Below are 27,841 nucleotides of genomic sequence, written 5' to 3'. Positions count from 1 at the left end.
TTTTGCTTTTGTTGCGATTACTTTTGGTGTATTTATCATGAAATTTTTGCCCATTCCTATGTCCGGGATGGTGTTGCCTAAGCTGTCTTTCAGGGTTTTTATAGTTTTGTGCGTTACATTTAAAGTCTTTAATCATCTTTGACTTTTGGTAACTGTAAGCTGGAAGGGGTTCAGTTTTAGCTTTCTGCATATGGCTAGCCAAGTATTGCCTAAGCTGTCTTTCAGGGTTTTTATAGTTTTGTGTGTTACATTTAGAGTCTAATCATCTATGACTTTTGTAACTATAAATAGGAAGGGGTTCAGTTTTAGTCTTCTGCATATGGCTAGCCAGTTATCCCTGCACTATTTATTGACTAGGGAGTCTTTTCCCCTTGTTTTTGACAGCTTTTTTGAAGGTTTGTTGGCCATAGGTGTATGGCTTTATTTCTGGGCTCGCTATTCTGTTCCATTGGTCTAAACATCTATTTTTGGACCAGTACCATGCTGTTTTGGGTAATGTATCCCTGTAATATAGCTTGAAATTGGGTAACATGATGCCTCCAACTTTGTCTTTTTGCTTAGGATTGCCATAGCTATTTAATGTTGCCCATATTCTCTTTGGCATTCTCTAGTTCTGGTCTTTGTGAGCTTTGAGTACTTGACATCTAAGTTGGTTTTGAGGTCTCTAGAGAATGCCCAGAAATTGTAGCCTTGCCATGAAAGGAATCCAGGACAGGTGGCCATGAACGTATACAGTGTGCTTTTGAAAGGATTCTGCTATATTTTGGTGGATGGCCCAGTGCTTGTGATCAGATGTCCTTCTCACCAGATGCCCCTGTCAGAGGAAACCCATCTATAAAGACAGTTCCTCACTAGCAATGATTACTCCTAGTTTCTGATATTATGAAGGTGTGAAAGTGGTATGTATTCAGCAGAAGCAGTGAGCTTCAGTTACCCATACAGCCATTCTGCTGTTCACTTTTAGTACAATATTCAGTAAATTAAATGAGATTTTCAGCACTTTATTATAAAATAAGCTTTGTTTTCAGTGATTTTGCCTGACTATAGGCTAATGCAAATGTGCCTTAGTCTGAGCAATATGGTGAAACCCTGTCTCTACCAAAATTACTTAGCCAGGCATGGTGGCTTGTTGCCTGTGTTCCCAGTCAGTCAGCAGGCTGAGGTGGGAGGATAGCCTGAATCTGGGAAGTCAAGGCTGCAGGAAGCCATGATTGTGCCACTACACTCCAGCTGGTTGACAGAGCAAGACCTTGTCTTAAAAAATAGAATGAAATAAAATAAATAAATAAATGTCCTAATCATCCTTAAGGTGGGCTTGGCTAAGCTATGATGCTCAGTAGATTAGGTGCATTAAATGTATTGCCACACTTTCAACTTATCATGGTTTACTGGGACATAACCCCATCTTAAGCCATGGAGCATCTGTTCTGGCAGAAGCCTTGTGGCTCTTACTTAACCAGGATCTAGTTTATTCCTACCAAGACAGACATCTCTAGGAGAGTTTTGACAGGAGGAGAGTTTGGTTTGGATTAACAGTCAGGTGAGACAGAGGGTGGTGCACCACAGTACAAATGAAATAACAGAAGTAGTGTATTACAGAGAAGAGATAGCATGCCTTGCAGGTATGTGGAAAGGGGGAACTCTCTGGGATGCTCAATCCAGTGGAGACAGTGTGAGGGAACTATGGGCCAAAGCCTTTATTAGGACTCAGGGTATTACCCAAGCAGGTTTCCCTCGGTGATTCTAATTGGTGGGTTTAGAGCAAGTTACAGGAGTTCAGGGTGTGACTGAGGTGATGGTGGTGGCATATCTTTGTCATCCTTGTAGGTTGTAAGGGTTAGTGCGGTAAATCAAGTGGGTTGTGTCTAGCTCTTCCACAGGGAAGTGGTAACCAGGAGGCAATTGCTTAAGGCAGATATCTAGATTAACTATATTGAGGAACTGGAAGAGGGAGAAATTAGAAACTGTGTCAAGGGCAACTAAGTCCTGCTTCTAATATGAAAAAGTTCTGCTTATATTCAAAATGGATGCCAAGGCAACCTAAAATTATAATTTACTGCAGGAATCCATCTCCCTGTTTCATGCTGCAAAAAGAATTAGTGACGTCTAAAAACCTAAAAATGTAATGGCTAGATGACTTTTCTGAGTTTAAAATACTGTTTTTAATACATATTGAGAATCGTGTAGATTTCTATTGTATATTGAAAGAGGGGGATCTGTCAGTGTTGCAGTGAATACATACCACGTAATAATTGTGTGCTCATCCAGCAGTTAGAATGGCGATAATTAAAAAGTCAGGAAACAACGTGTGCTAGAGAGGATGTGGAGAAATAGGAACACTTTTACACTGTTGGTGGGACTGTAAACTAGTTCAACCATTGTGGAAGTCAGTGTGGCAATTCCTCAGGGATCTAGAACTAGAAATACCATTTGACCCAGTGATCCGATTACTGGGTATATACCCAAAGGATTATAAATCATGCAGCTATAAAGACACATGCACATGTATGTTTATTGCGGCACTATTCACAATAGCAAACACTTGGAACCAACCCAAATCTCCATTAATGATAGACTGGATTAAGAAAATGTGTCACGTATACACCATGGAATACTGTGCAGCCATAAAAAAGGATGAGTTCATGTCCTTTGTAGGGCCATGGATGAAGCTGGAAACCATCATTCTCAGCAAACTATCGCAAGGACAAAAAACCAAACACCGTATGTTCTCACTCATAGGTGGGAACAATGAGAACACTTGGACAGAGGAAGGGGAACATCACACACCAGGGCCTGTTGTGGGGTGGGGGGAGGGGGGAGGGATAGCATTAGGAGATAAATCTAACGTAAGTGACGAGTTAATGGGTGCAGCACATCAACGTGGCACATGTATACATACGTAACAAACCTGCATGTTGTGCGCATGTACCCTAGAACTCAAACTATAAAAAGAAAATTGGGTGCTCATCATGAAACAAGTGGAGATTTTCACAGTGAACTGAAAACTGAAGAGAACTGTTTAATATTTGAGCATTTCTAACTCAAAAATCTAAAATTTAAAATGCGCCCCATAAATTGAAAACTTAAAAATTTCACAGCCAGCCTCATGTGATGTGTCCTAGTCCAAGTGCAGGTGCATAGAACATAGTTTATTCACCATCCCCAAGGGAAGAAGACACTCTCAGGTCCCTTCAGCTGTTACATACCTTTTCCATCCATGCCAGATAAACCCAGATAAGCAAGGCCACAAAGGGTAATAAAATGACACTTGTGTAGCCTGGATGTGCCAATGGCAGGATCTCCACAATGCCCCACATGGGGCCCAAACCTCTATGCACTGTTTTTTGCTTGTTGTCTGCTTAGTGATGTAAAGAGACTGTATCAGAAAAGTCCTACAGATAACCTTATGGGTAAAAATGGTAAGAAAAAGAGGAAGTATTTATGTTTATAGCACATAAAGTCAAACAGAGAAACTGAACTGTGATGTGTGAAACATTTATAGAAGAGCATATAGCGTTGGAATGACCGCCAATGTGACTTGAAGAAACAGAAGGATAAACTATTGAAGTTATGTGTGGAAAGGATGAACTGAAGTTAATGAGAAATAGGAAAACACTGTGTAAAGCTAAAAATGTAGATTTTGACTGTGTATTGAAAGAGGGGATCCGTCAGTGTTGCATTGAATACATGCCACATAATAATAGTGTGTTCATGAAACAAGTGGCTGTTATCGCAGTAAACTGAAAACTGAAGAGAACGGTTGAATATTCAACAAGCTAGTTGCAGAGGTTTAAAAATAACTGTGCTGACATGTGCTAATGTGACAAGCATGCATAAATCTGAACTTATGTGGTAGGCAAAAGCTTGTGTACTGTGTTCAGGGAGTGAATTTCTTACCAGTTCATTATTATACTAACAGAAAGGCATGGATTACCAGCAACATCTTTTCTGATTGGTTTCGTAAATATTTTGTACTAGCTGCTTGTACTCATTGCAGGAAGCTGGACTGGTTGACATCTGCTCTGCTCATCCTTCAGCTGAAATTTTACTCAGAAATAATCTTTTTGCCATGTCCTTTTCTCCAAATGTGACTTCATTAATTCAACCATGTGAGCAGGGTATCTTTATATCAATAAAGACTAAATATAAAAATTCTTCATGAATAGCATGCTGGCATGAATGAACAGAGATGTGAGTGTGGCAGGTCTTCAGAAGGAGTTAGCATGAAGAATGATGCTGTATATGCTATTGCCTGTATTTGGAATGCAGTGACTAAAGATATTGTCTTAATGTCTGGCACAGCTATGCTCTGTGACCGTGTTCAGTGATGACGATAAACAAGGTGGTAATTTTGAAGGATTTTCTATGTCAAGTAAGAAAAAAATGACATCGCTCTTCCTTAAATACACAAAATAAAGCTAGAAGAATTATATATCAAGACTTTAACATTAATAATTAGGCCCTAGTTGTTCTTTTAACAATTGTGAAATAGCCAGAATAGTCTGGTTGAATTAAGATGATTGTGATAGTAGTGATAATGAAGGTGATGTTTTTAAGACTGCAGGGAAGGTGCCTACAGACAATGTGATGAAAATGCCTGATGGACTTATTGAAGGACTAGGACAGCAGGCATTCATAACAAGAAATCATGTCAGGTTATAAAATGAAAGAGATATGCAAGGCAAAAGCCATTGTGAATCAGGCAGATAATTCTGCAGAAACATTTAACAAGCCATTCATGCCATGCATGGTGGCTTATGCCTGTAATCCCATATGAATGTGGTGTGGTGGTGGGTGCTTGTAGTCCTAGGTACTCAGGAGACTGAGGCAGGATAATTGCTTGAACCCTGGAGGCAGAGGTTGCAGTGAGCTTAGGTCATGCCACAGCACTCAAGCCTGGGTGACAGAGTGAGAACCCGTATCAAAAAAATAATAATAAATAAATAAATAATGCAGTGTGTACAGTAAATTTTTCATCAAAATACAGCATCATAGGTGGAGACTGAAAACCTGCTGTTCTGTTGTTGTTCTTGTTGTTGCAGTTTATCAGCTGATACAGGTACATTCATACATCTCAATGACAGGAATGCAATCTGACAAATTTGTTTTTAGGCAGTTGCATCATTGTGTCAACATCATATGGTGTACTTACAGAAACCCAAATGATGCAGCTTATTACACAGCTTTGCTGTATGGTGTAGCCTCTAGGTCATAGGCTACAAACCTATGTAGCATGTTACTGTACTGAATACTATAACTAATTATAACACAATGGTGTTTGTATATCTAAACATAGAAAAGCTCAGTAAAAATCAATTATTATAGTCCTGTGGGACCACTGTTGTATATATATGTTGTCTGTCATTAACAAGGCCCATGACTGTATGCTACCATGCTGTTCAGTTACCCAGACACTGTTTCTCTCTGTATAATCTTGTGTCATATTTTTTACTGTTTTAAACACTTATGTGTGAATTAGTGTAAGAAAATGATTGCTTCTCAGTGGCATATGTAAATTCCTGATTAGGAATAGATGGTGATGCCAAACAACCACAGATTGCACTCTTACGTGGCTGAAATTGTGACACCTTTGCTTTCAGATGGTTCAGTATACAAAAACTTTGTTTCATACTCAAAATTATTAAACGTTTTGTACACAGTTACCTTCAGGCTATGTGTATAAGCTATATATAAAACAAATGAATTTTGTGTTTAAACTTGGGTTCCATCCCCAAGGTATCTATGTATACGCAAGTACTTAAAACCCAGAGAAGTTGGAAATTTGGAACACCTAGTCTCAAGTATTTTGGATAAGGGATGAACAATCTGTACTAACATTTAGTAGAGGGTGATGCTGTGCATTAAAAAAAAAAAGGTAACTACCTTTTTTGTAACATTGAATGGCAAATTGATTCCAATTTTCAAAATGGAGAGAACTTGAGAAAAAGTAGAGAAGAATATTGTAATATATGGTAAAATATTCAGAACTTAAAACATCTCGTTACGTGACTTCTTATTAATATATGTAATAGTAATAGATATAAAATCTGTTATAAAGGTTGTTTTGTGTTTTATATTAACAGAATGCTGCGTTTTTATATGGCCTTGGTTTGGTCTACTTCTACTACAATGCATTTCATTGGTAAGTTGACTTATACCATTTGTTTCCAGTAAATGGTGATTTTAATGTCTGTAACCATACATTTCCAGTAGTATCACTTATTTTACTGCAGTTTCTAATCAAGTTCAGCCCATCATTCTTTCATCTTGGCCAGTAATTGGTAACTTGATTATAAACTGCCCTGCTCCTATTTTATGTTTTACCCCATTCGAGTGCTGTGACAGTCCGAAGGAAGATAATTACTGTGTGATCAAGATTTGCAATGTGTAGGTTGCCGTAATGTTTATTACAAATTCTTAAATATGCACTGACAGCTATTTGACATGTTTTCCCACAGGTGAATATTTAACTTTAACCTGGATAGCTTTTCCTGCCTTCTGTTTTTCTTCCTTCTCTGCCTTTGGGCATTTAATTACATCAAGTCTGGAAATAATTGTTTGCTACTAAGCGTTAAGATTCTATAATGATTTTTTTCATGAATAATATACATTGTTTTAAGAGATCTTAAACTTAATTCACTAACCGTCTTGTATAATCCGTCATAAATATGTTAGTTCTTGGTCACTGTTATTTAACCATTTATTTAGTGGTATAAGCAGACCTGATGTCTGGGTCCCCAGTCTAATAATTTAAACAAAATTCCTACTGAAACCAAAAAATGCATATTTTCTGCATATTTTGGCATTGGAATCGAAAGGCAGAAAAACTTTGCATTGGAACAGAAAAACTTTCTGTTATCATTGGGAAGGGTACTGACAAAGGATCCTTTGGGTGCCGCTTCACAAGACCTGTTTGTCTGGCAGGGCCTCTGCTCAAGTTTGGTTCCTGATGGCTGGACTGGCTCTGCCCAGTTGGCCCTGCAGGCTGTGCTTGGCTCATGGTACCCGCTCAGATTTCACACCCGCCAGTGGGGAGCCAGGTGCAGAGTGGCAAGACCTATGTGAGCCAGTGGGCATGGGGTCTGGCCATGGCATACAGTCAGGTGTGCCGGCAGGTTGGGCAACTCCAGGTGCTGGCACATGGGTGAGCTCTGCGCAAGTCTGTGGCTGGACCAACGGTGCCTTCAGCGGCTTCCGCCTTGGGTGCTGGCAACTGGACTACGGGAACGCTGTGGCGCTGAAAATATTTGGAGATGCCAGAAACCACAAAGCCCCAAAGGGGGTGTTACAGTTTGTTACAGCTCTGGCTTGGGGAGTCCTGGTGTCTGAGCCCCCACGAAGTGTTACAGCACATTCGTATTACCACTCCCTCATTGGTATTACCGCTCCCTCACCAAGTCCACACACTTCCAGCGAACGGGGTTGTGTGCCTCCCAGTTGGTTCAGTCCCATTACCTGGCTTAAGCCGACGGCTCCTGGGCTGGCCTGGCACCCTGCTGCTTCCTGTCACATGGGGCAGCCACCCGGTGTGGATAGAGGGCAGGAGGGCTACAGTGTTGCAGTCACTTTATGCCCTGCCCTTTGGTGGGTACTGGGTTCTTGTTCTAGGTCCAAGAAGAATGAGCTAACATGGACAACTAGAGGGTGAGCAAGGCAGAAAAGTTTTACTGAGGAACAGAACAGCTCTCAGCTGAGAGGGGACCTGAAGTGGGTAGCCCCTACCCAAAGGTGGATAGTGCTAAAGTATGGCTGAGTCTGGGGTTTGTGTGGGCTCAGAATGGGTGAGTGCATGCTGATTGGTCCAAGGTGGGCCTGGAAAAAGCACCTTTTGGCTGGCTAAAAGTTGTCAAGGAAGTTCTCACTCTGGGTCACAGACTCTACCTGTAACTGGCAGCCCAGTTTTCAGGCTTCAGGCTTTCTTTGGCTTGAATGTCAGGTTTCACTGGGGACCTGCCCCTGTCTGCCCAAGGCAGTGATAACACTGGTAAAGAATTTAGGGGGCATGTATTCAAAAGTAAGGATATAAGTTGTAGTTAGTAGAATAATTTATTATGCTTTGCCCCATGTAAAGATGGTTATTTTAATCAGTATTTATAATTATTTCTCTGGGCATATAGATAAAATCATTTTAGTCAGCCAGAATTTACTTAGGTGAAATCCAGTGTAAAACTAGTGACAAGGAAACTGTATTCCTATACAGTTTAGGGGAATAAACTGTGTGCATCATGTTGATTTACATGTGCATCATGTGATTAGTGTGCATCATGTTGATTAATTTTCATATAATTGTGATAACTCATGTTCTCCCATAGATTGAAGATAAGAACGTAAAATCACTACACAGATAAAGCTAGCATAGATACAAAATAGTGATTGCTTTAATATATATTAAATAATGTGTTGTCTTTAAGTGATGTCTGTATAATTCCCCAAACCCCCTACCTTTTAAAATGCTTAATCTTGGAATTAATGGATATGGAATATACATAATTTTAGAAGTAGGAAATTACTTATCAGACTAACCTATTAGGGGCATGTGTAGCATCCTATATCCCATTTTGTCATATTACTGGTATCTGTATCTTTTTATACTGTATAGAAAATGTCATTTGTATTAGAAACACTTAAGATTCTAAATTGTTACTTTCAAAGTATTTGGAGAATAATTTAGATTCAAGCAGACTTTTGCCCTCGTATTTATTTTTGAGGAAATTATCATTTACATAATTCAAGCAGTAAAAATATTCAAAATACACTCACTGTTAAAAAGAAAACCTCTACTTATCTGTGGATTTTCTTTATTGGAGAGACCCATTTAAAAAAGAAACAGTAATTAAGACAGTATGATAGCATTTGAACAAAGGTGGATTGATAGACTAATCAACACTGAATTAGATTGGAGAACCCAGAAACAGTCCCACATGAACATGAGTACTTGATTTATATCAAAGGTAACACCATATTGCTCTGGAATTATAATAGTCTGCTCCACAAATTATGCTAGACTATAGGAAATCTATGTGGAAAAAATAAAAATTGATCCCCTATCCATGTTATTACACATACTTAGAATGGTAGTAGATAATGGCAAACAGGCCAGGTGTTTGCCTGTAATTTCAGCTCTTTGGGAGGCTGGTGCAGGAGGATCCGTTGAGCCCAGAAGTTCATGACCATCCAGGACATCAAAGAGAGATCCTCTCTGTACAAAAAATGAAAAAAATTAGCTAGGAGTATTGGCATGAACCTGTGGTTCCAGCTACTCAGAAGGCTGAAGTAAGAGGATTGCTTGAACCCAGGAGGTCCAGGCTGCAGTGAGCTGTGATTGTCCTGCTACACTCCAGCATGGGTGACAGATTGAGACCTTGTCATTTACAACAAAAGAGTATACCAAAAGTGAAAGGCAGAAATAAAGTTTTAAAAAGTTGGCTTATATGAAGCTGAGTAGAAGCAGAATTAACACCTTCACTTTCTCACCTTTTCACATTTTCCTGCTGTTCTTCCTTGAATGTTTCAGAAAGATTTGTAGTAATTTCCACTGAATTTTTTCTTGAACCTTTAGATATTTTTGAATAGTTGACGGAATTGAGAACAAAAGGATTATGCACTTTCTTATCCCTTTCTAATCTTTTCCGTTCATTCATACTGTTTTTTATAAAGTTGGTACTTTCAATAAAATTAAATAACCAGAATGTTTCCTATACTATCAAGTGAGATATATGTAAGTATTAAAAATCACAGTTTCTTATGTTTTTATTTTTTTCAGGGCAATTAAAGCATTTCAAGATGTCCTTTATGTTGACCCCAGCTTTTGTCGAGCCAAGGAAATTCATTTACGACTTGGGCTCATGTTCAAAGTGAACACAGACTACAAGTCTAGTTTAAAGGTAGGTGGTTGAGATTTTTCCCACATACACAATTTCATATGTGTGTGCGTGCATGCACATGTGCGCATGCACACTTTAATGTCACTGAGAAGCGTTGGAATTTAGTGCTATGAAAATCTTAGAAAATTGAGGATATGACCTAAAGGGTTAAAATAAGGTTGGAAATGAGTTTCAGGATATAAAATGAACACCAAGACTTGCAAGATAATTTTGGCACCTTAAAGTTTTTGTTTTGTTTAATTTTAAAAGTTTTTATATAATCAGGAGATGGTGAAGGTTTTGATTTCCTTTGAGCATCAACATTATTTTGTGTGTCTGCCACCAAAGAGAGAGAGAACAGGCCAGTTAGTGATGTCATACCAGTGATTTAACTATTGATTATTGCTTTGTATAGGTCTTATTAGAAATCTACACCTATTATAGCAAAACATGTGTCATAGCAAAGTTGTTTAATATAATATTCACTCTAAGGCTTTTGGACTGCCAGTTGCTAAATATGCAGTTTTTGGGTAATATGCAGATTTTTGGGAAAAATTACATTATTGTTTAAATATCTTAATTCTGTGGAAATTTGATTTCTCAAATTTTTTTTACTTTTTTGCTATGTGAAGCTATTTTGTTTTCCAAGACTTTAATGAAAATAGGTCTTCCCTTTAAGTTAAAAGCATTGTCTTTTGAAAGAATTATAGCTTCTGGAGAAAATAATAAGGTTTGTGATTTTATGCGTATTAAGAATGTTTCTCCTTTTCCAGATACAGATCTTTTGTAGATTATCTTAATTTTACAGGTGGAGGGTATTTATGTAACTTAACAATAGGATTTACTTTGAACTCACTAACACAGAAATATTAAAGGAATGCTTTTTAAAAACTCTGTGTTGTTTGGGGTTCCCCAAACCTCCCTCAAGTTCAGTGATTTGTTAGAGGGACTTAACCCAGATAACAGTTATACACATGGTTACAGTTTATTACAGTGAAAGAATACACATTAAAATTATCAAAGGAAAAGACATGTAAGGGCAGAGTCTAGGAGAGAGAACCAGCTGCAAGATTTCATTTGTCCTCTTTTGTTGTACATCTGTGAGCTGCAATTGATTTTCCCAGCAGCAAGTTAGGAAAACATAGACAGAATATTGTCCACCAGAGGAACTCAGTGACTGTTGCTTTTCAGAGTTTTTACTCGGATTTGATCTTGTAGCTCTGGAGGACCTGCCTACTAAGCTACCTTAGTAGCTTAGTCTCCAGTGCCTACAGAGAGAGGTCTGATACCATATTGCCCCAGGCCTCTGCCATAAATCAATTGTTAGCATAACTATCTGGGATGAACCAAAACCCCAGATAAATAAAGACACTCTTGTCAGACTAGATATTCCAAGGACTTCAGAGATTACTGTGAGGAGCTTGTCAAGATTCATACCTTTCTTTGAATGTGCTTGTCTGGCCAACGCAGACTTGCTGAATTAATGCCTTACTGCATGTGGTTCTTAACTCAATTATGCCTTAATTGTTTTAAAGTTTACAATTATGTAGACTGTTTGTGCTATTTATGTTTTTTACAGTATGATGCTGATGGAACATAGTCAACCCAAAACATTAAAATCATTGCAAGTAAACTACATAAATAACTTAGATTTCACACTACTCAGAAAAAAGTGGAGCTGAGGAGTCCCTAAGTCCAAGGTTAAGTGCAGTTGATGTGGAAAAATAGAATAGAATTTTTCAGTCTTTCTGAAATTTTCAAATTTTCAGTTTTTCTCAAATTCAGAGTAACATTTACAAATTGCTTACCATTTGAGATACCTGTGGATTTGAAATTGAAAATAAGTACAGCTATGCCACTTTGTAGATTTTAATCCTCTCTGCACATTATATGTGTATACACACACAAACATAAAGTCTGTAAAAGGCTCTAAGATGTTTTACAGCAGAAAATAAATATGGTAAAATTTTCTCAGACCATATTAACAGATAACTCATTCCTATATGTGCTTTTCTTTGCTTAGTCATATGTAAAGGGTAGCAAACCCTTCGAGTAAGGTTGGTTTTAGCAAAAAATGTCTTAGATATATGCTGTTTTCTTTTTTTTTGCCCATCTTTCATTTTTTTTAAACACTCAGCAAGTTTTTGATGTTTATTTCATTTGTATAGCATTAAAAAGTTTTGGGATGTTTTCAACATTAATCTTCTCTTAGTGTGAATATCTTACTTGATTTTTATCTCATCCTGAAATTTTATTTCTTAAGTTTTCCCTCATAATCAAAATACTTCTTGTCTATTTTTGAGATTGTTATAGGCATCGATAGTTTAACTGAGGAAGAGATATTTCTGTATATTGCTGTAAGTACTTGGCATTTAAAATGATTAAAGGTGTGAGTTAGAATGAATATCTCCCTTTTCAAAGTTTCCAGTTTTCTTTAGTTGGTTAGTAATTTATATAGCTAAAGATGGAATCTATCATGATATTTGTATAATAGCAAGGTGTTTTCCTGGCAAAGTGTACTCAGAGAGACACTTTGGGCTTTACTTTTATAAATTCCAACTCAAAAATTACTAACTCATAATAGGAAGTCCAGGCTTCAAGGTTAGTTGATTCAGATACACAGATATCTCATCAAAGATCCATATTCACTTTTGTTCTCTGTTGGATTTTTCCATGTTTAGTAGAAGATACTTACCAGGTGTAATTAAAATGACTTTTTTTTTTCATATTTTCATAGGGACATTATAGAGTAATGACTTAGATGCTTAGTAATATTGGTAATAACTAACTGCTCAATAAATATATGATTTATCATTCTTATCTTGATTTAGAGTATGGAAAAGGGCAAAATTTCCATTGCTGTCTTCAAAAATGAGTAGTAACTTTGTGAAAAGCCTCCAAAGTTTGCCTTGCCTATCATTTGCCAGAAATACACTATGTGCTCATTAAGTTATTTCCTATCAGAGGGCTAATATTATTCACAGTCTCATTCTTGAGTAAGGTTTAGTTCTCCAAGAGGGTTACAGAATGGATATATTGTGATGGAGAACAGAATTTAAGTTCATTACAGTTCATGAGTTCTCTACTTCATTTTCTTCCCTTAGTTCCATGAAAGAGTATATATGATATTTCTAAATGGTAAATTATTTAAATAAAATACAGGTAGTTTTCGCAGTAGATCTGTCTCTCTTTTGTTTATACATGGCATACATTCCAGGGCTTTATAGTTCATTAATTGTTCCTGAAAATGGCCAAATGTCACTGAAACAGTTTAATTCAGCTTTAATATAGTGTAAACTGGCATTGAAGTAGCAGATTTGATTTTAAAATTTGATGTTAACACTTCTAATTAAATGTGTAACCTTGGCTAAAGTGCCTATTTGATTCTTAATATAATCTGGGGACATAGAATAATTATACCCACATCTAGGACATAGTGACTAAGTAAAGGAAATGGAAGTACCTGACAAATAAAATTTTACTTGGCTCATCAGCCCTTTTAAGTTCTGTTTCTCATCTGCCATCTAAAATTTCTCTAATCTGGGGCCATTATCTAGTATTTGTGAATTCTGTTTTTCTGTCACAGAATTTAATCCATCCTTTAAAAAGTGAAATTAATCAAATTTCCATGTGTTTAATACATGGTAGAAATAGCAGTTGTCAATTGATTAACTAGATTAAAAGTATATATGAATTATTCCATTTTAGAGCGACTTTTCTACTTCACATTTTGTTTTTTCCTTCTTCAGATAACCTTTAAGATTTTACTTTATTATCTCTCACTATAGGTGATATTACTGATATTTTGTTATACTTTGTATATATTTGCAGCAGTGGATTATCATTACTTGAAAAAAAGGTTAATTTTGACAGATAGTTTTATATAATGCCTAGCAACTTACATAAACTGGTAAACTGTTAAAACTGTTTCTTGAAGGTAGGAATAGTATATACAAATGTATATGGGAAACACAATATTCTTCAGTAGCTAACACCAGTACAACTACTTGATTTAATGAAGATTGCATAAAGAGAGTAGATCTTAAGCATTCTCACAATATCCCCCACCCTTACCACTTCTTACATGTGGAGGACATACAGGAAATAAATGTGAGGTGATATGTTAACTAGCTTAATTATTGTAGACATGTCACAATATATATATATGTTTACATCACAGTATTTTATATATATATATCTTATATGTAAAATTTGTATATATACAAATTTTTATATATAATTTTATATATAAGTTATATATATATAAATATACAGTATTTTGAGGTATTATGAGTTTATTGAGGGATATATATATACATAAACATACTTCAATAAAGCCGGAAAAAAGATTGTATAGAAATTTACTAAATATTTGCTTATGTCTACATATGCTGATTTATTTGAACACACATCAACATTAGAAGCTTTTGGATTTTTAAAATCCTTTGTGTTTGAAAATGAGGATAATTGGTGAGCATACTGAGGTATTTATTGTCCCCTTAAAATTTGCTAGTGGAAAATAATAAATGCTGATTTAAGAGGCAGATGTGAAAGGGGTAAAGAAGATGAGATTTATGGCATCATTCCTATGTTCAAAACTAGGACAAAAAAAAAAGGTCATGTTTTATTACTCTTGAAGCATTTTTTAAAAACATAAATTGATTTTATTTTGCCTTTTAAATAAATGTGTAACCTTACCTAGGGGTGCCTAATTGGTTCTTATGATACCTGTGGGCATAGAATAACTATATCCACCTTCTAAGACATAGTGAGTAAATAAGGTATATGACATTATCTGACAAAATTTTACTTGGCTCTTCAATATTTAGGATACTGTCTAAGTACTGGGCATCACATAACAAAAATAAGCTTAAAAAATTAAGACTTATCATATAGGTTCTTAACAAATATCGAATGGATAAATGTGACAGCAGACACATGTAGATCAGAGATCAAGTGGTCTTTGAAATTGCTTTTAATTATATAAAGACACACAGACCAGCAGTCCCTATCTGCAAGCTAATATAAAATAGGTTTATTTAAGGGCAGAATCTGGATTAAAATTCATCGAACACGATTGTGATTGACATTATTAAGTCATGAAATAGAGTTATTAATGAGGACTTTTTAAACTCTTAAAATTTGCTGTGGTAAGAGATCATAAATGCATATAACAAACAACTCAGGCCTTATTCCTCAGATCATTTTGGGATGACTAAGCTGCCTTGCATACAAATAAAGAGTGTCATATTTAACAGAATTTTTTTAATATTAAAATTATTTTTTAAATTTTATTTTTAATTGACACGTAATAATTGGACATAGTTATGGGATACAGTGTGATGCTGCTGACACATGTGTACGTACATTGGGTAGCGATCACATCATAGTTTTAGCATATTCATCACCTCAGACATTTCTTTGTGGTAAGAACATTTGGAATCTTTTTTCTAGTTATTTTGAGATACACACTATATAATATTGCTTATTGTAGTCTGCTTGCTATGCTATATAGAAAACTAGAAATTATTCCTCTTACCTACCTGTCATTTTGTACCCCTTGATTAATTTCTCTCCTTCATTCTGTCCATCCAATCTTTGCTGGCCTCTGATGACCACTGTTCTACTCTATATTTCTATGAGATCAAGTTTTTTAACAATGTTCTAAAATAAGTGAGATCATGCAGTATTTGTCTTAATGTCTGTCCTCCAGGTTCATCTGTGTGGCCGTAAATGACGGTACAGTTTAAGATCTCATTTAACATCATCAAATAGTTTCTTGGAAACTTCAGCTTTAAGCGAAATGATATACACAGTACCATTTTTTTTTCCCTCATCAGGATTGTAACTACATGCATTTGAAAGAAGAAATAACTTACTGATACTTTCTTTTTTTTAAATGGATGAACAGTATGTTTATTATATACATGTATATACACACACACACATATGTACACATATATATCGGATTTTCTTACCTTATTCAATCATTGATGAACACTTAGGTTGATCTCATATCTTGGCTATTGTGAATAATACTGCAATAAACTTGACAGATGTCCTTTAGCTACTGATTTCATTTACTTAGGATAAATACCCAGTAGCTGAATTGCTGGATCATATTGTAGTTTATTTTGAGTTTTGAGGAGATTCTGCCACTTTTTTCCATATGACTGTACCAATTTACATTCCCACTGGTATTGTTAAGGGTTCCCTTTCTCTATAGCCGGATCAACATGATACTTTGTCTTTTTGATAATAAATGTATGGGGTGATATCTCACTGTAATTTTCATTTGCTTTTCCCAGTGATTGATGTTGAACTTTTTTTCATATACCTGTTTGTTGCTTGTATGTCTTCTTTTGATAAATGTCTGTTTAATCTTTTTCCCTTTAAGAAAATTGATTTATTAGCTCACCAAGTCACACTTGACACTCAAGGGATCTGAGTTAATCTTTTTATGTGTCTGGAAAGATAACTAAAAATTTGAGGAGCAGCAGTGATGTCTGTTAAAAAAGAAAGATTATTTTTAAATGGAACTCAGATTGCCACTTTTCATCCTAAACACCTCAATACTTTTCTATCATTATTATGATTATGTTCAGAATAGAAAAAGACAATACAATTTCATATTATCTCCTTCATGTTTTTTTGGGCCCTTAACAGATGCTTGTTATTCTGCAATGCATTTTTTAGAACTCTTTCATGGTAACTTTTACTTATCCATGCAGGTCCTACCTTAATAACATTTTCTCAAGGAGGCATCCATTTGTAGGTGGTTAGATCTGTGCTGGACATCTTGTACTTTCATGTGAAATTCTTGCCATTGCTGAATGGATTAGATGAGCATAATTATTTACTTTAATATTTCTCTCTGGCTGGAGCTTTTTCGTGGAGGGATTATGTTTGTTTATTGTTATATGCATAATACGTGGCCTTAGTAGGCATGTAGTTACCTGTCAAATGAAAAGGATATTTGAGGGCTTTATTTGCTCAGTATTGACCAAGCTCAAAGTCTACATTGATGAATAACATTTTTTGATCATAAATAAGAATGAGAGATTTTGAAATATATTTTATTTAAGGAAATTATACTTTAAGAGACTGGCTCTCACTGTTTTCCAGGATTGAGTGCAGTGGCTATTCACAGGCATAATCATAGTACAACGCGTGGAATTCCTGGCCCAAAGTGATCCTTCCATCTCAGACTCCCAAGCAGTTGGGACTACAGGTGTGTACCATTGTGCCTGGCTTTCTACAAGGAATTTATTAAAGATTAGTAAAGCATATAGGTATACAGTAGTCCCCCCTTACCCACATTGTTGTTTTCTGAGGTCAATTACCTGCAACCTTGGCCAGAGATATTAAATGGAAAATAAAGAGAAATAAACAGAAACAAGCAATTCATAAGTTTTAAATTGTCACTGGGCATAGTGGCTCATGCCTGTAATCCTAGCACTTTGGGAGGCTGAGGCAGGCAGATCACGAGGTCAAGAGATTGAGACCATTCTGGCCAACAGAGTGAAACACCATCTCTACTGAAAATACAAAAATTAGCTGGGCATGGTGGCATGTGCCTGTAGTCCCAGCTACTCAGGAGGCTGAGGCAGGAGAATCCCTTGAACCTGAGATTCGGCGGTTCCAGTGAGCTGAGATCCCACCACTGCACTCCAGTCTGGCGACAGAAGGAGATTCTGTCTCAAAAAAAAAAAAAAGTTTTAAATTGTGCACTCTTCTGAATAGCATGATGAAATCATCCTTTTGTCCATCATATCCAGGCTGTATATATTAGCTTGCCCATTAGTCACTTAGTAGCTGTCTCGGTTACCAGAATGAAAAAAACATTGTATCTGTAGGGTTCAGTACTATCCAAGATTACTGGCATCCATTAGAGGTCTTGGAATGTATTCCTCAAGTTTGAGGACATGGGCTACTGTATTCTGAATTGTCTGAAATAACTACTTGATAACTTCATTTTTAGTGCCCATGTTTTGTATTTAGATGCATTGTAGCTGGGCTTGAGAAATGCTTCTTTAATTAGCATAGGTTACATTCAGCAGATGCATATATGATACATTGCTTTCCTAGAATGTGAAGGAAAAAATGCTGTAATAGTACACATATTTTTATTTGGTTTTAATAGAGAATGGTTATATTAAAATTGATTTTAAAATTAGTATCATATTTTATTGAGTTATTTCTAATATTTCTTTATATCCAGTACAAAAACATTTTGATCAAACTGCTATCGAGGCAACAGAAATTATTGCCTGGGGAAATCCAGAAAAGGCTTCGTAATGCAGGTTTGAATCCTAGCCTGAGATTCTTTTTAGAGGATGAGGTGATGTTTGCTGAGGCAGACAACAAACCAATGAGGGAGTAGAGGAAGTATTACAGGTGGTTTAGATTACCTTGGCTGACAGGGTATGGGACCCTTCCACTTGTAAGAAATGGGAAATATCTTAATTTGACTGGAGTTTGGCTTCATGAGAGCAAAATTTGGATGAGACTTAACTGTGAGCATCTTGGTAGAGATACAGAATTTCTTTTGGGATAATTGCTACAGCTAGAGATACAGAACTATATTTTGCAGCAATAGAGTATTCATGTCTTCACAAACATGGTTTAATTGATAATTTGTTTCTGGAAAGATCATTTTTAAGCTTAGTCATAATTTGAGGATTGGGTGACTCTAGTTTGAGGATTGGATACTGAAAATGAAGACGAGAGGTTATATCATTTTGTCTCATTTCCTTTACTGTCTTAATGTTTACTTTTTTGGTTCGTGGTATTTAATTTAGCTTTCTGTAATGTGAGGTGTTGTGCATAACTTTTATTTTTTATAAATATGTAATCAGTTTTAAAAGTCTTTTCTCATGCATGTTTTGAAATATGTATTTTCAAAATGTTTGCTGTTTAAAAATGTTTGGCATTTTATGCTGTTTGGGGGTGTGGAATAGTAAAGCAGTAATTTTACCGTAGCATCCAAGTTTTTTACTGCTCCTGGCAGATCTTGAATGCTGACAAATTAAATGTAGGCTGAGTAATTTGAATTATATACCTCTCTTTTTTCTTTAGGTTTTACTAAAATAGTACTGAAGTGCTGTAATCTTGCAAGTTATTTTATTTTTCCTTTTTTTTTGAGACGGAGTCTTGGTTTTGTCACCCTGGCTGGAGTGCAGTGGCGTTAGCTCACTGCAACCCTTGCCTCCTGGGTTCAAACAATTCTCTTGTCTCAGCCTCCCGAGTAGCTGGGACTACAGGCGCCTGCCACTATGCCCAGCTAATTTTTGTATTTTTAGTAGAGACGGGGCTTCACCATATTGGTCAGGCTGGTCCTGAACTCCTGACCTCAGGTGATCCACCCACCTTGGCCTCCCAAAGTGCTGGGATTACAGGAGTGAGCCACTGCACCTGGTCAAGTTATTTTCTTTTCAGGCCAGTTTCTATCCTGTAGTGACTTGTTTAGGAAAGGCCTGTGTTCTCATATATTTAATAATATGGTTTCAAGACAGATTTTACTTAAAAATATAGTATAGTCTGAAGTGTGGCTATTATGCTTCCCTTTTTGTGTTGAGGAGAGTAAGTATGCTGTACTTCCAATACTTCATATACTTAAAAAATAGTCTGTATTGTCTTGCTCTGTTAGCATACTCCGGTTTGCAAACCAAATATCTTAGTTCATTTCTGCCCCTGCAATAGAGTACTAGAGACTGGGTAATTTATAAAGAGATTTATTTGACATGAAGTTCTAGAGGCCAGGAAGTCCTAGATCTTGGGACCATGTCTGAAGAGAGCCTTCTTGCTGTGTCAGAACATGGTGGAAGGCGTCACATTACAAGCAAGATAGAAAGATACCAGGTGAAACTCACCCTTTTTCTAAGGAACCCACTCTTCTGATGACAGCATTAATCTGTTCATGAGAGAGAGCCCTTATGATCTAATCACCTCTTAAAGATCTCTACTCTTAATGTCACAGTGCCAATTAAATTTCAACATGAATTTTGAATGGAATATTCAAACTATAGCACTAAGGGAAAATAAAAGCAATGTTCACAGTGTTCAAATGTTGGGTTTTTCCTCAGGAAATAAGCTTTTTATTTCCCAGTTTTCTTTTATTATTTTTTATTTCAAAAGTATGTATGTATCATTATAAAAGGTAATACAAACAAAGATCCTATACCCATCAGTTTTTCTCAAAGGTTAACATCTAGGAAATTGACATTGATACAGTCCAGTTTTTTTTTTTTTAGCTTTTTATTTCCAGTGTCTGCAATTGTTTTGATCTTATATGAAAAGAAAAACTTTAGCCTTCATTTATTTTTAGGTTCGTTAGTTGGGTCCCCGCATATTAGACTGACAGAAAAACTAACAAGAGAAAAATAAACAAATTTATTAATGTGTGCATTACACATTATACACTGGAGAACTTTGCGATGAATGTCAACCTAAGTATTCAAAAAGGTCAGTATAATGTTTAAGAAGAGTTTATTCAACTGCAAAGCTAAGGTCCCTGCAAACACAGATTCCATAGAAAGGAAGTTAGTTTTCCAAAGTGTAGAAGTTTGGAGTCACTTATACAGACAAAGCTTTCTATATAAGGCTTATTGCAGAGTTAACAAAAATCTGATTTGTTGAGGTAGTCTTTTTGTTTCAGGAAAGGTATACTCAACATTTCACACTAAAGATGTAACTGTCATGGGGTCTTCGGCACCATCCAGTCTGAATTAGGCCAATAAAAGGACAATTAATCCCAAAGATCAGTGATTGGAATGGGGAATGTCTGGTGTCTCCTAGTTATTTACTGAACAAGATCAATGAGCAGGAGCTATTATCTAAGAAACTGTAAGAAAGAGAATTGCACACATTCTGTGTGATTCAGTTTCTAGGGTTTAACTTCCCCCTTGGCATGATAAATTTAGAGGGTCCTGAAGTTTTATTTTCTTTCTGTGAGTAACTCAGGAGTGTACAATATGGGCTGCCGTGAGATGTAACCAAAGGAACAGTAAATTTATAGAGAAATGACAAGACAAAGGGAAGGACTTGAAGTTGCCATGGGAAGCAAATTGTGGAAAGGTAAATATTTGGCAGAAGTTATATAGATTAATTCTGTGCTGCCTTTAGGCTTGTAAGAATATAGAGTTGTCTTCAGAAATTAAGAATCACCCTGTCCTTTCAAGTAGAAAGGAGGATAGGGAGTTCTGTTGTACCTGTTTCTTATTTGCCTGTGGCTCAAAATAATCTTTATGTCAGAATCGCCTATTTTGGGGTGACATATTCTAAACCCCTTCATGCGTTATTGTCTCTCATTAGTGATTGATGAAGTATTTATAATTAAAAGCCTTTTTGTATTATGAGTAATTTACCAATTTCAGAATGTGTTTCAAGCAGTAAACGAAGTTAAATAGTAACTTCATAAGTTAAATGAAGCCTTGATATTTTTAGGTTTTGTCTTCATTTGGTTGCTATTATGGGAAGATATACATAAAGTAGCCATTTTAGTATACATTTCAGTGGCATTAATTACAATGCAGTTTAACCATTACCACTCTTTGTTTTCAGAACTTTACATTATCCCATACAAAAATTTTTTACCCATAAATCAATACTTTGCCATTCTCTTTTCCTGCAAGTACCCGGGAGTTCCTTTATTCTACTTTCTGGCTCTCAGTAGAAGTCTGCATATCTTATATAAATGGACTTGTACAATATTTGTCGTTCTTTATCTGGCTTATTTCACTTGGCATATTTCAGGTATTCATCAATGTTGTGACGTGTTTCAGAATTCCTTTTTATTTTCTGTATTTTTTTGAGACAGGGTCTCACTCTGTCACCAAAGCTGGAGAACAGTGGTGTGATCTGAGCTCACTGCAGCCTCAAACTCCCTGGCAGAAGCTTCCCATTCCTTTGGGATGAATATGGCTGAATAATATTCTATTCTGTAGTTAAACCACATTTTCTTAATCCTTTAATCTGTGGTGAACATTTGTGTTATTCCATTTTGGCTCCTGTAGTAATGCTACCTTGAACATTGGTGTACACAGAGATTGAGTCCCTGTTTTCAGTGCTCGAGGTCCAATTTCTTCACCACTTTGCCAATAAATGAAAAAAAAGAAAAAGAAAAAAATCTTTTTCATTTGTGTTTGTTTGCTTCATAGTACCTGTCCTAATGGGAGTGAAGTGATACCACATTGTGGTTTTGAGTTGTATTTCTCTTAATAGCTAATAATTTTGAGCATCTTTTCATGTATTTATTGGCCATTCATATTATTGGAGATGACTGTTCAAGTCCTTTGCCTATTTTAAATTTTTGGGTCTTTTTGTAACATATTTTATATTCTATATTTTAAGTCCTTGTTAAGTTTATAATTTACAAGTTTTTTTTCTTTGCAGTATCTTGATTGTGGTTCATTCATGTACAAAAGTTTTTAATTTTGGTGAAGCTAAGTAAATCTGTTTTTTTGTTACCTGTGTCGTCTGGCGTCATGTCCAAGAAATCACTGCCAAATTCAATGTCTTAAAGGTTTTTCCTGCTTATTGTTCTAAGACTTTAATAGTTTTAGCCCTTAAGTTTACGTCTCTGATCCATTTTAAGCTAACTTTTGCATATGACGTAACAGGCCCAACTTTACTTTCATACAGATACTTAGTTTTTCAAACACCATTTGCTGAAAAGCCCAACTTAAATATTATAACACAGATGCCAAGCCTATGTCTACTAGCTAAAGTGTTCACTCTCATGATGCTATTTGTGATCATTCTTTGATTGTAGTATCATGTAGCAAACATTAATTTTGTTCTTTGTTAATTGGCAGTTCTCAACCTGACTCGGCATATTTAGGTTCTCAGTGATTCCCACATTGATTTTTCCCCTGAAACTTAGTTTTTAAAGGTTGTTGAATATAATTTATTTTTACAAAGAACTTATGTTCTATGTATAGTGTCATTTTAAACATTAAATATTAGTATTTTTAGTACAGTTTTAATACTTTCATTGTAGATGATGATCTTTTTGTAGTTTACTTTTAAAGTAACTTGTTCTTTGTTGGTATCATGGTTGATTATTTTTGAAAGGTAGTGGAGGCTCTGAAAATTGAATATTTATGGGAATAGTTTGTAGAATGTTTGAAAGAGATGTATGCATTTTTTATTTAAAAGAGTTTTAGGACCTATTATCTTTAGTTAAGTAGTTCATAGACGATAAACATCAAATGTTACTGTATGATTTTAACAGTTATTCTATCGGTAGACAGTGAATTAGAAGTTGGTTTGCATTCTGCATAGGCTTATATGATATATTTAGAGTAGAAATATAAGTGTTTTAATATTTCATGAATGATTATATATTTTATACACACAATTTACATACATTTAAAATGTTTAGCACCCTGTTTTAAATATGTTTAAAAGCACCGCTTTCAGTGCTTGAGGTCCAATTTCTTCTTTTGTCAATAAATGAAAAAAAAATTTATCAGCAAAGAACAACTACATTTCACATGTGAATTTGAAAATAGGTTACTTGATGTGTATAAGTAGGTTGTACATACAGGTTTTAAATGTTCTGAAGTACAGTGACATTGAAGAACCATTAAAACCAGGTATGTTTTATTCTTTATGTTAATTCTCATATTATCTAAGTTACTTTCTAAAGTTCAAGTCTCAAGATAAGCTATAATGTTCTGAAAATATAATTGTATTTTCCAGATTTTAAAATAATGAAGTGCATGTCTAATTTTATACCTTAATATTTTGTTTACTGGAAGACTCAAATATCTGAAGTTTTTTAATAAAACAAAAATATAAATATAGTAAATTCTTCCATACAGCCTCCATTCTTAACTATCTCAGGGAAATAACTTGATTAGCACTTACATTTTCAAAATAAATTTGGAATTACAGTAATTTTATTTGGTCGAGTGTAGTGCATTGGTGTATAGCATAGCTTTGTTATTTTATGATAGACATTGAAAGGCTAAAATAGAAAATGTACTTTTATGCACTCTTAATTTAGTGCATTAATATTTTTACTTTTCTCTTGCAGCATTTTCAGTTAGCCTTGATTGACTGTAATCCATGTACTTTGTCCAATGCTGAAAGTAAGTATTTTTAAATGAAATACTTTTGAGTAAAGAATATTAATGATACCTTTTTTTCTACTGATACCTTTGTTTCTGTTCATTCTTGAGAAGAGAAGTGAGAAGGCATGTGCCTGATTCAGAGAGTTTAAATCACTGGAGTTGAGTTGATTTGGGTACTATTTTTCTTGCTCAAAGACAGTCAGTATTATTATTTGATAACTGTAGAAATGATTGGTATGTCACAGAGCACTAACAAATAGTGATTACCTACTTTAGTAGTTTTTCTCCCTTTATGGTGTCTATGTTTTCATATTAATGAATTACTTCACCTTTTAATATTTTAGGATTTGCACATACCGTAAGCTTGACTATTTTTTGAAACTTTTTTGTGTACTTGGTGATGTTGCAAAAATCAAAAGTTTTCAAAGCCAATTTTAAACAAAACCTGAATAAGTTAAAAATGTGTAGTTTAAAAAATAAATACTGTTTTTTGAACTCTTTCAGATGAATGACTACAGTTAATATTTTGGGAAAAAAACATGTTTAAAAAGAATATGAAACTTTAAATTATGTGATTTTCCTTTGTGATAAAAATGTTAGAATATTAAAGACCTTTTATGTCAATTTTTTACCTATTTGAGTCTATAATTGAATATTGCCATACTGAGTATACCTAGTTATATAATTACACTCCCTTTTAATGTATAGATAAGAATGAAACATGGGCTGGGAGCAGTGGCTCACACCTGTAATCCCAACACTTTGGGAGGCCGAGGTGGGTTGATCACCTAAGGTCAGTAGTTTGAGACCAGCCTGGCCAACATGGTGAAAACCCCATCTCTACTAAAAATACAAAAATTAGTCAGGTGCAGTGGTGCACACTTGATTGAAATCCCAGCTACTCAGGAGGCTGAGGCAGGAGAATTGCCTGAACCCGGGAGGCGGACATTGCAGTGAGGCGAGTTTGTGCCACTACATGCCAGGGTGACAAAGCAAGACACTGTCTTAAAAAAAAAAAAAAAAAAAAAAAAACAGAAGGATGAAAGGTAGAGATTTTTATCCCACAAAAGATGATGTTGTATTTTATGGGATGGTGAGGTCAGAGCCTGGGACTCCAGCCTAAATTTGCATTTTAAGTTCAGATAGTATTAGGATGCCAGTTAGCACTAATCTTTTCTATTATCTGTATTTGGTGGGTACAGATATGGGGGATATGGGACATAGTTTTTGGTTTTCTCTTTGCTGTGTGTGTGTGTGTGTGTGTGTGTGTGTGTGTTTTAATTTTGTTTTATCTTTTGAGACAGGGTCTCACTTTGTTCACCAGGCTGAGTGCATTTGGTGCAACCATGGCTCACTGAAGCCTTTATCTCCCAGGCTCAAGTGATCCTCCTATTTTAGCCTCCCAAGTAGCTGGAACTTTAAGGCGCATGCAATGCCTGGCTAATATTTTTATTTTTATTTTTTGTATTTTTTGTGGAGATGGGGTTTTGCCATGTTGTTCAGGCTGTTCTTGAACTCCTAGGCTCAGGGCCTCCCAAAGCACTAGGACTACAGTCACAAGCCACTGCACTGGTACTTTTTCCTTCTTAATCTGTCATCCAGTTTCTTTCCAGCAATTCAGAGATGTGAGATTTTGATTCACTAGATGTTATGTGGTAAGGAAAACTCTGTTTGAAAAGGGGAGGGAAGATGAAGAAAACCTCTCAACCTGTGGGTGTGTGTACATATATATGACTTTTTTCTTTTGTTGCTTTTGTTTTTTTGAGGGAGAGGTTATTATCTTGAAATCACACAAAAAGATTTTTCTTTTACTTTATGGCTCATTACTTAACTTTTTCTATTTGTCTATTTTTATAAAGCAATAACTTAGTTTCAGAAAGTTTGTTTGATTTTAGTTAATTACAAAATTTTGGAGTAATTTTTCTCTTATGGAAAGGAATTTATGGTTATCTAATGCATTATTCTCCAATGTTAGATATGGGGGAACTTACTGGAAAGCTGTGGAGCATATTAAAGGGGCTGCTTTCCAGACATTTACAGAGGTTCACTAAACCAAAATCTGAAAGAGTTTAGCTAGGATTTGGTAATTGTATCAACCCTCCCAGGTATAATTTATGTTTAGGACATTGAGAGAAATGAGTGAGGAGAAGCAAGGAGGGAAGATTCGGAAGGGAGGAGAGACAAAGGGATGTCAGAATTTCATGATTGCTATGGGACTTTTCTTTAAAAATATAAGTATTCTGTTTATAATTTTGAAAGTTTTAAAAAATATATCCTAAAACAAAACAAGAAAAGGTGTTTATCATGGATGAATAAAAACTATAAAATACAAATAGTTGGACTTGTAATTATCCGTTGTGATTTTGTTGTGTGCTCTGATGATGGGGAATTGGGCATCAAGAAGGGCTGCAAAAAGAAGCCAAATATTCTGCCTTATTTGAATCTTCAAATAAATTATTTTGAAGTCTTGCTCTTCAGGTAGTTTGACCATTTGTGTTTGTTCTTGACCACAGTGATCTATTTCTGAAGAATGAAACATCAAATTGTTACTAGTATTTGATCTATAACTTAAAAAAAGTTGTTAATAAAAGATTGACTATAAAGAAAAAGCATACACACTGAAAAACATTCCTTGATTACAGAGTAAATATTATGTTTTTAACGTAAAATTTTGAATACCATTTGTCAAGATATGTAAACTTAAATGCTTGTGTTTCCTTAATACTCTGATTAAGAACTTTTTATGACATATACTTACCTATTGCAGATTTTAATGATTATTAGAGTTATTAATAAATTTGTTACAATATTACTTAATCTTTTATATTGATTGTTTTTCTTGGCATGATCTTTGTTAGGTTTAATTGCATTTTGTTTGTTAATTTTGCATTCTGTTTAAAACAGAAGTTGCACCCGTAGTCAAATGTATGTTCCATAGTTTTAGCATTTGCGTATGTCTGACATTTTATATTATCCCTACTTTTTGTTACTTTATTACATTAGACTGTATTGTAACTGATCTTTTCCCATGATCCATTGCAGTTCAATTTCATATTGCCCATTTGTATGAAACCCAGGTAAGTGTTTTAACTTAAGAACAAGAATGAAACAGTCACCTATGCTTTAGATGAAATGAAATGTACTTGAAAATATCAGGCTTTAAATGAAATAAATATATTAGACGATTTGAGTTGTGGGTATTATACTCTTGCATGTATTTTGTATTCTACTCCTCATTAAATGTGTTTGAAATTTTTAGTGAACAAATTGTTAAAGACAAATGAAGGCATTTGAGATTTGTACTTAATATATATATATATAGCAGTTTGTGTAACTACCTTAAACTGTGTATTTTATTTCCTAAATACAATACTTGCTATGTATGCAGTGCTTTGACTTAATGTAATTTGCCTCTATACCTTTATTTAGAAGCTTTCATGTAACCCTGCATGTAATGTCTACTTTTCTTTTAAAATTTTCATGAATGATTGTAATAAGTCACTGTTATTGAAGTTTTCTGTTTTTCTTTAAGACTGAGGTATCTTTTAAGCATCATACCATTTCAAATGATAGTTACCATTAGTTCAAGGCTGTTTGTTTTTAAAGTTATTTCAGCTTTTTAAAAAAATATTTTGCTTTGTATAGCAGATTTTATTATAATATTTAAACTGTAACATACAGATTTACAGTTTGTGGTGGAGTTGGTAGACTTAAAAAAATGGGTAGCATTTTTTCATATTATGAGTAGCTGAACATTTTGAATTTAAATTGTGAAATAAAGAGAGATTTAATAACCATGTTGGGCATGGTGGCTCATGTCTTAATTGCAGCATTTTGAGAGGCTGATGCAGGAATACCTCTTTAGCCCAGGAGTTTGAGACCAGCCTGGGCATAGTGAGA

General features: G+C 35.1%; 1 protein-coding gene across 123 annotated transcripts in view; it reads left to right on the top strand.

Annotated features, from left to right (window-relative positions):
* The window catches only part of UTY (ubiquitously transcribed tetratricopeptide repeat containing, Y-linked), a 246,776-nt gene that overhangs the window by 59,794 nt on the left and 159,141 nt on the right, over window positions 1-27,841 (top strand). For 108 of the 123 annotated variants that reach the window (NR_174404.1, NR_047613.1, NR_047639.1 and 105 more), the window contains 4 exons: window positions 6,084-6,142; window positions 9,764-9,884; window positions 23,905-23,959; window positions 26,984-27,018. Coding sequence is in view for 67 of the 123 variants with exons in the window: in XM_011531448.4 (XP_011529750.1) it covers window positions 6,084-6,142; window positions 9,764-9,884; window positions 23,905-23,959; window positions 26,984-27,018 (270 nt within the window). In the remaining 56 variants the exon portion in view is untranslated. Of the gene's footprint in view, window positions 1-6,083; window positions 6,143-9,763; window positions 9,885-16,988; window positions 17,095-20,825; window positions 20,940-23,904; window positions 23,960-26,983; window positions 27,019-27,841 lie in introns of all 123 variants that reach the window. The other 15 variants (NR_047598.1, NR_047640.1, NR_047597.1 and 12 more) reach the window with 6 other exon arrangements.

The sequence above is a fragment of the Homo sapiens genome, chromosome Y, assembly GCF_000001405.40.
Source record: "Homo sapiens chromosome Y, GRCh38.p14 Primary Assembly".
Classification (NCBI taxonomy): Eukaryota; Metazoa; Chordata; class Mammalia; order Primates; family Hominidae; genus Homo; species Homo sapiens.
Note: the sequence above shows the minus strand (reverse complement) of the source record. Positions and strands in the feature narration are given on the sequence as shown.